Genomic DNA, 9,749 nt, shown 5'->3' on the forward strand with positions numbered 1-9,749 from the left:
ACTAGGCTGGCTGGAACTCCTAGTCAGGACTTCAAGTGATCCACCCACCTCAGCCTCCCAAAGTGCTGGGATTACAGGCATGAGCCACCGCGCCCAGCCCCAAATTTTTTTTGAAAAAAGAAATGTATATTTGTGTGTGTGTGTTTGTGCGTGTATGTGCATATCTGTATGTAAGCATATTTGATATAATAGCATTTAGTACATCTGGTTAAAGGGCATATGAGAATTCTTTGTAGTGTTCTTGCAACTTTTGTTAGCCTGAAATTACATCAAAATACAAAGGTAAAAAATAAAACCATAAATAAAAAATACAATCCCAGCTCTCAGGATGCCTCCTTCTTTAATAGTTTTCCCTGATGTCCCCTGCCTTACCCTTTGCCTTAGGTGGGTTAGGAGCCCTGGCCCTGTGTGCCCTCAGTCTGTAGCTTCTCTCTCTGTCACAGCACTGTATTACACTGTATTGTGACCACCTGATTATGTCATTAAACTATGAGCTGGGACAAAGAAGGCAGGGGTGCTATCTCATTCAACTTTGTATCACCTGAGCTTAACTAACACCTGGCACAGAGAAGAAACATATTAAGGATTTGCTGAGAGAATAAGATAGTATAACTTGGTCTTATATCTAAGGTTTGATTTTCTAGGAACCTATAGTGAATTTTAGGCTTGCTTTTCAGTTTTTGTAGCAGGGATGTAGCACAGGTTTGGGACTCAGCACACCTAGTCTGAAAGCTGATTTCTGTCACAGCATGCATGAGGGACAGTCTCTTCAGTTTATTTATACCTTAGTGCTGTGATTCTCGAGCTTATAGACACTGTGAGGACAGAATTTTAGCTCTTTAAACAAAGGGGGGCAAATATACAGTGACCTCTATCTATGTAGGTATTTAACTGAAAGGAATTCCAGGGCCAAGTGTGTCTACTATTAAAAGAAACGTACTTTTCTTACAATGTAGTCCCTGAATGCAAATCATGGTTTTATCTGGTGGGCAACTGAAGAAACAGCAATCTGAACTGATATGGGAGGCAGACCTCACTGTAACAGGATTAGTGAGAAACAGTGTTTGTGGCTCTTAATTGCTCATTTTTTTTTTTTTAATGGGGGATGTTAGGGATTTTCTAAGGGCAGGTTTATCCATATGCAGAGTTGATGTTAGGATGTAATACCACAAAGATGTAATTAACTCCTCTGTTTGTGGTCTCCATGTTAATTCACTCTCATAAGAGGGTATGCAGTGTGGTCACTATTCTACCACCATTTTTAAGAAAAAATTTAAAACTATTTTTTATCTTCCAAATTAAATATTTTGCTATTTGATAAGTTAACAATGCAACAGAAAATCAATATAACTTTTATCTTTACCAGAAGCCATAAAAGTCTATCTAGGAAAATTTCAGATGTGTGAACATGGCTTTAGAGAAGGAACTCAACTACAGACTATAAGAAATGTAAAACCAAGCCAGGTTCCTGTTGTGGTCCTTTATTATGACCTGGTGACCTAAGCTAGAGAATCACAGCACTAAGGTATAAGTAAACCAAATAGCATGCATTGGCTTTAGTTCAGAAGGGGATTTTTGTGCAGAAAATAAATTGAAAGTAGGGCCTCTGGCCAGCATAAACAGATAAGAAAAAAGTATGATTCCCTACGTCTCAAAAATGACTCCTTCACACATCCCACCAATCAAAGATCCATTTGGAATAACAGGTCTTCTAAAAGCTGCCATAGAAGTTAAGCCTCCTACCACCTATACTTCTGTGTGAATTGATTTAGTCTGGAGGCATTTTGATTGCTTTTCTCCTAACACCTAACTTAGAAGGTGAAATAGAGGTCTTGTTTGGAGGGAATTGAAGAAGGAAAAGGAAAGGGCAATTTCAGATCAAGGGATATGTTGGAATGGTGGAAAAGTAGGATCATTAGGACAGCTGGGAACAGTCTTTTAGTTCTTGGAAGCCAGGAAAAAGATGTAGAGAGAAGGGCAGAAGTGGTCAAGGCTCCATGAAAAGGAGGATGTAGCAGTCAAATTGGATGTCGACCATGCAACAATGACGTCAGGAACCCTGCTTGGTATACCATCTGTACCTGTCTGTACAGGTCAGTTCTGTAACTGTCTGCCTCGAAGAATTGCCTGGCTTGTTTCTCTCAAAGAATGGACTCTAGCTTATCTATAATAGAATATACCTATGTTGGTGGTCAATAAACACTAATTTAATTAAACCTGTAATGCTTTTGAGACTTTTGCCATATCTTCTGTTATTTGGGACCTCACCACCTGGAACTTGATTTTGCAACAAAATTCAAAAAATACTTGGCCAAAACTAACTTCCCCTGAACTTGACAAATAAAATGAACAATTCAAGAACAGCCAACTGAGTAATTCTGGTATATAAACTGTCACTATTAAATGGCTTATTTATCGAAATAGCATTCAATCTTACATGGGCATTCAAGAATTTTAGGAGAGACAATGGATATTTCTCCAAACCCTAAAAATCCCATAAAGCAGGGGCAGCAGGACAGAAAGCTTTTATTCTTGTCAAAATCAATCTTGACTTTGGTACATCACAATGGCTGCATGACAATGTCACATTCTTGTCCACTTAGGTAAATGTGTTTGGCTCACTTGGCCATCATTCTGGAATTAAGAGCCTTTGCAGTATAAAACCAAGATTTGAATAACAGTAAAGGTCAGAGCTCAAAATTAGAAAGAAAAAAGACAAGAAATGGCTGATAGGAGGTTGGCACAGACATGAAACCTGATCATGCTGAAAGCACTTGGGGAGGGAGAGAAAAGGGAAACTTTGAATGAGTAATAGAGAATAGCATGGTGTATATACCATATTTGTAGATTTCTTAGTTATCTGTTGTATGGTTCCTTCTGACACCACTATAAATAACTTCCTGAGACTGGGTAATTTATAAAGAAAAGAGGTTTAATTGACTCACCATTCTTCATGGTTGGGGAGGCCTCAGGAAACTTACAATCATGGCAGAAAGGGAAGCAGGCATGTCTTACATGGCACGTGGAGAGAGAGAGTGAGTGTGAAGGAGGAACTGTCAAACACTTATAAAACCATCAGATCTTGTGAGAACTCACTATCATGAGAACAGCATGGAGGAAACTGCCCCCATGATCCAATCACCTCCCACCAGCTCCCTCCCTTGACACGTGGGGATTATGGGGATTACAATTTGAGATGAGATTTCGGTGGGAACACAGAGCCAACCAAACCATATAATCTGTCCTCTGCTCCTAGATTTTTCCCTTAAAAATGCTCAGGATAACTTATTAGAAGAAATGCCCTTTTAGGGAAAAATAAAAGTTTAAATCAGGCTGGTACATTCATTTATGGATCAGTCCAATTCACCTTATTCAGGTCTGCATCTTCTCTCCTTTGAATAGCTATGATCATCCTGTAACTGCTGATGCTGCCTCATTGCTCTGCTCCATTGCCTCACCCCAAGCTTTCAAAGTCATCTCCTACTCTACTCCAGGGTAATTTTTCTAAAATGCAAATACTGTTGTTTGGCAGCTCTACTTAAAAGCTTTTAGTGACTTTCTATTTTCTGTGGAGTAAGTCTCAAAGTACACAGCATTAGAACCTTTATATTCTACCCCTCCTACCTTATGTCTTACGATTTCCCATTGTTAATTTTAGCTTCACACAGTTTTACTAATTTATATCTCCAAATCTTTTTTTTTTTTTTTTGAAACAGAGTTTCACTCTTGTTGCCCAGGCTGGAGTACAATGGCATGATCTCGGCTCACTGAAACCTCTGCCTCCTGGGTTCATTCAAGCGATTCTCCTGCCTCAGCCTCCTGAGTAGCTGGGATTACAGGCATGCACCACCACGCCCGGCTAATTTTGTATTTTTAGTGGAGATGGGGTTTCTCTATGTTGGTGAGGCTAGTCTCGAACTCCTGACCTCAGGTGATCCACCTGCCTTGGCCTCCCAAAGTGCTGGGATTACAGGCATGGGCTACTGCGCCTGGCCTGTATCTCCAATTCTTTACATATGCCTGACGAACTGCTATTCCATCTTGTAGGGCTAAAATCAAATTTTTTTTCATTTTTGGGAAGCCTCCTCTACATACCTCCACCTTCTAACTCCAAGAAGTCAAAGTGAGTATATCATTGATGTTGCCACTTAATCTAGTATATATGTGTGTATTTGTGTGTGTGTGTATATATATATATGCACACACACACAGAGAAATATATTTCTATATATATTTCTAATATATAGTAGTTAGAAATACATATTTAATAAATATACAGTAGTTAGACATATATATATGTTAGTCATAATCTAACAGGAGATAAGTATATAAGCAGCTGCAATTAGGTTATTTTTCAAAATGTAGTTAGAAATATATATATGTCTACTATATATTATACATATTAAATATATATTTCTAACTACATTTTGAAAAATAACCTAATTGCAGCTGCTTATATACTTATCTCCTGTTAGATTATGACTTTCTTCAAAGTTGACACCTAATTTATTTTCATAGATCCAGGACATGGCATATAATAGGTGCTTGTTAATTGCTTTTTGGATGAATGAATGAATGAATGAACGAATGAAGGTTTCATGCCTAAATCTCTGGATTTAGTTAGTAGCTCAATGAGTAAAACTAAGGACTGTTTACTAGATATCAGCCTTTGCTTAGTTCTGAGCTATGGTAGTTGGAAAGTGAAGGAAATATTGGTTGGAAAGGAGAGTTTGGGTCAATGCAGACCTGAATCCATTTTTGAGAGAGATTAAATTTAGAAAACAAGCTGAATGGCAGAATGGTAGTTATTACTGAATAGGGGAGATATTCATGTTAGTATCAAAAAACATTGTTCAGTTAAGTAATATGAACGGGAAATTACTCTATTAGAGGAGGTCATGCTCTTGTTTTTGGGTAAGAATTAAATGTATTGAAATAGCAGGATTAGAGGAATATGAATTGGTCAGCAAGAAAACAAATGTTATGGTCAACAAGGTGCTTGAAGCTGCAGATATGGTGAAGAGCAAGGGACTCTGTGGCTGTGACATTCTGTTAACTATACTGAGAGGGAAAGGGAGACAGGGTGGGATCTGGGAAGAGTTTGTGCAGGCAACCAAGACTGCGATCACATTTTTTACTACACCAGGACTCCCCGTTCCCTAGTGTGGGGAAACCTTCCCACTCCATGCAGCAATGCCTGAGTGATGATGAGCAATAAAGGTTCATGAATTTTCTATTTATTGGTGCTATAGCAGCTGCTACAGTTAGAGGCTCACAGCTTGATACCTCAGCTGTACACAAGTTTCTGACCTAGTGTGTTGCTCTTTTGAAAAAATATTTTATAATGAAAATTCTCAGATATACAAAATAGATTTTGCTCATGTACCCATGACCTAGCTTTAACAAATATAAACATTTTGTGATCTTTTTTTCTGGCATTTTTAAAAGCAAATTTTAGACTCATTTTATGCTGTACATCAATATATCAGTATGGATCTCTAACTGATAAGGATATTAAAAATAATATAACCACCAAGATATTACCACATCTAGGGTTGCTCTTAATATGCTCAAGGACCCTGCTTCTCCCACCTGTCTTCCCTCTATCAGGCCGTATGTACTATTATTGGTTATGCCTATGTCATTGCCTTTCTGAGAGAAGAGTCTGCCACTACACCCATTTTTCTTGTGTTTGTAGACTCATCTTCCATTTGCAAAATATAATATATGAGGAATGAAGTTTTCTGGCTATTACCTTTGTCTAGCCTATACCTGATATCTGAATCAGCAGAAAGATGTATTCAATTTGTAACCTAATCAGGCTATTTCAAGCCATACCCCTCCCTGCCATGTAAAAAGGGTGCTCCTGACCTTTTTCTTTGAGCCAGGATCTTGCTCTGTCACACAGGCTGCAGTGCAGTGGTACGATCATAGCTCACAGCAGCTTCAAACTCTTGGGCTCAAGGGACCCTCCCTTCTCAGCCTCCTCAGTAGTTAGGACTACAGGCACATGTTACCGCGCTTGGCTAACTTTTTTTTTTCTTTTTATAAAGATGAAGTCTCACCATATTGATCAGACTGGTCTTGAAGTCCTGGCTTCAAATGATCTTCCCTCCTCAGCCTCCCAAACTGCTGGGATTATAGATGTGAGCCACTGCACCTGGCCAAAAGGGTTCATTAAAAAAAAAAAATCTTAACTTTTTTTAGAGTTTTCAGAGACTTTCAAGCAGAGTAAATATGCCAAGTGTTTATAGTTGTGGAATTGCCTGTTCTGCCTGTCAGTTTTGGGGAGAATAAAGGAAGTTCATTCTCCTAGTGGCTTTCTGATGCAACCCAAGATGCTGGTGACCATTTTGATTGTTCTCTTTGCCCCTCTTTGCTACCAGAGAAGGTCAAATCCACTTATATGGGGTAGGATAAATCAACAGAGTGGATACAAAGAATTCTGGCCATCATGTGGCCAGGATGGCCAGATCTACTTGGCAAGCTAAAGCATGTATGTAAAGATTTAACTGTCCATAAGGCATTGAAGTTAAGTGTCCAAAGTTAAGGGTGTTCATGCTGTAGGCATTAAGAAGAGTGGAAGGCACTTCTAACTGGAAATAGTCCTAGGTTCTTGAAAGGAAGTGAAATTTCACCAGAACTTTGACTGCTGGTCACAACTCATAGATAATAAGGGGTTTGGGAGTGCGATGGGAAGAAAAACAGAGCAAGCAAAGCATAGAGAGGTGAAAGCACAAGGCAGGTGTAGGGAAGCACGGATAACATAGTGTAGCAGTCATTTGCGATGACTTGCATGGCATATCACCCCCTTCCCACCTAATTTAAGGTCAGGTGACTTAGACAATTCCATGCACATTGACAGTGTCCCAACTCAAGTGTTGACTATGATATTGCTCTGATTTTTGGCCTCAGGGCTTCCTCTGATGCCTACAAAGGCTGCTTAGCACCACAAAGACTGTCCATAAGAATGGCAGAGTCCATGTTTGTGGTGACAGCCTTCAACTAACGGAGGTGGAAGACAGTGGAAAATGTCCCAGAGTTGTCACAGGGACAATTCTGACATGCATTTTACATGGCTTCTCAGAGAGACCCACTGGGACTGAGTCTCATTGCCCACAGTTGTTACTAGCTCCACCATGCATCCTTGCATTGGCTGACCCTCTTCCCCTGTTCCACTTCTGTGACCCACGCTTCTGCTTGCTGAGAATTGTGAGAACCCAAACTAAGACATCGATTTTGGTAGAAATGAGAAAATATGCCAGGGAAACAGTGAAAAACAAATCCAGAATGACAGGTTTATAAAAAGACTTTCTTACTAATTAAAAAAAAAAGTCTATTTCCCTATTTGCTTTCTGCTTGCTTTTTTCTTGCTGTTATTTAGAAAAGTGAAAACGAAAACAATACTTTTAGATTACAATTCACATGGAACTAGGCTTGTCCTATAGTTTACAGTCCTTATGGATTCTGAGTTTAAGGATTCTGTCCCATTATCTTTCCTTATTGCAGTAAATGACAATCTATTCTTCCTGTTATTCAGGACAAAAATATTGGGGGGTAATCTCTGATTATTTTCTTATTCTTGCAACCCACTTCTGATCTGTCAGAAAATCCTGTTGGATCCACCTTCACAATACATGCAGAAGCTGGATGGCCATTTCTCAGTATCTTCACTACTACAGCTCCGGTTAGGCCACAGTTGTCTTTCACTGGGACTGTTGCAAGAGCAATCTGTTTAGTTTCACTGCTCCTGCCCTTAGGTCCCTACCATCTATTCCCAACAAAACGGGCAAAGTGATTCTCTTAAAATATAAGTCACACCACACCTTTCCAATACCCTGCACCCTCCTTTGATTCAGCTTTGAGTAAAAGCCAACGTTCTTACAATGACTGAGTAAATGCTGAAGTTTTGGCTTGGTCTTTCATCTCTTTCCTTCCTTGACCCTTTTTATTACTGCTTATCCCCTTGATTATTCCACTGCAGCCCGTGGGTCTCATGACTAAACTCCAACAGGCCAGCGTCCTCCCCACCCAGGCCAGCATTCTCCCAACTCGGGTCAGTGTTCTCCCAACTCTTTGCACTTATGTAATCTCACACTGGAGGGCTCCTCTCATCTCCCATAACCACATAGCTCACTCCCTCACCTCCTGGGCTGTTTGCTTACCTGTCATATTTTTAAGACAGTCCTTCCTTGGCTTACCTATCTGAAATTGAAGCACCTACGTGAACATATCCTTTCCTTTTCCCCTGCTTTATTCTTCCCTTTAGTATGTTTTACTATCTAATAAGCATGTATTTTATTCATGTACATTTTTTTCTTCCTTCCAGGAGGCAATCTCCATGAGGGCAGGTGTGTTTTCTTTTGGTGGGATCGGGAGAGGGGAGGTGTCTCTATTGTTCATTGTTCTCTTTCCTGTCCAGAATAGCATGTATACACCATGACGGCTAATTTTAGGTGTCAATTTGATTGGGGTAAGGGACGTCCAGATAGCTGGTAAAACACAATTTCTGTCTGTGTTTGTGACAGTGTATCTGGAAGAGATCAGCATTTGAATTGGGAGTCTGTGTAAAGAAAATCACCCTTACCAATGTGGATGGGTATTATCCAGTCTGTTGAGGCCATGAATAGAACAAAAGGGCAGAGGAAGGGCAAATTTGCTTCTGTTTAGTTGGGACACTCATCCTTTCTTGCCCTTGGACATTGGTGCACCTGGTTCTTGGGCCTTTTGACTCAGACTGAATCACACCACTGGCTTTCCTTGTTTTCCAGCTTGCAGACAACAGATCATGGAACTTCTTGGCCTCCATAATCTCATGAGCCAATTTCTGTAAGTCTCTCTGTCTCTCTGGAGAACCTTGGCTAATATACACACACACCATGATTGATAGTGGATGCCCAATAAATGCATTCCAAAATATATGGATGCCCAATAAATATGTGTAAGTATGAATACTCAATAAATAAACAAAAATGAAAGAACGGATATGTGACCTTACTTAGCTTCTCTGGGACTCTATTTAATCTCTCTGAAGCTCTGTATTTTTCAGCTGAAGATGGGGATCCAATACCTAACTCACAGGAGCAAATCAAATAATGTATTTAAAGACCTTAGGAGGGAAAAAAACCTCTCTCCTAAGGTCTTTGGATAAATGGCTGAACTACTACTTGTCAGAAGTTATGTTCTGATTTTTAGTTCAGAAACCGAAGTCCTGAGATTTCTATCTTAAACCATGGAAGGATACTTTTAGAAGCTTTATAATTGAAGTCTAAGATCATAAAAATAACTTATTTTCAATTTATTTTTCTAAGAAAAGCATGTGGGGCTCCCTTGGCATCTTTGACTTGTAGAAAGTGTAATATGGAGTTTCCAGACTAGAACACAAGCTCCATACAAAGAGGTACCTAATTATCTTGTAAGTTCCTAGTGACTGCACCTGTTGTATAATAGGTTCTCAATAAATATATGTTGAATGAATAAACAAAGAAAATGTAAAGTTTTTCCTCCATTTAAGGTGTCCCAATAGTGAAGCTGAGACCTAGCAAGATCTATGAACTGTTTCTTTCCTCTAATTTCAATTTTTAAACATTTTTGTGGGTATATAGTAGGTGGATGTATTTATGGAGTACATGAGATATTTTGATACAGGCATTCAATGTGAAATAAGTACATCATGGAGAATAGGGTATTCACCCCATCAAGCATTTATCCTTTGAGTTACAAAAAGTCCAATTACACTCTTTAAGTAA

General features: G+C 39.3%; 1 long non-coding RNA gene across 1 annotated transcript; it reads left to right on the plus strand.

Moving 5' to 3' along the window:
• Positions 1 to 524: 524 nt before the first annotated feature.
• Positions 525 to 8,985, plus strand: LOC101927829 (uncharacterized). The gene is made up of 5 exons (NR_110814.1): positions 525 to 2,093; positions 3,717 to 3,839; positions 4,082 to 4,123; positions 6,054 to 6,146; positions 8,772 to 8,985. It is a non-coding gene; the product is annotated as an uncharacterized LOC101927829 (long non-coding RNA).
• Positions 8,986 to 9,749: the final 764 nt, after the last annotated feature.

The sequence above is a fragment of the Homo sapiens genome, chromosome 3 (assembly GCF_000001405.40).
Source record: "Homo sapiens chromosome 3, GRCh38.p14 Primary Assembly".
Classification (NCBI taxonomy): Eukaryota; Metazoa; Chordata; class Mammalia; order Primates; family Hominidae; genus Homo; species Homo sapiens.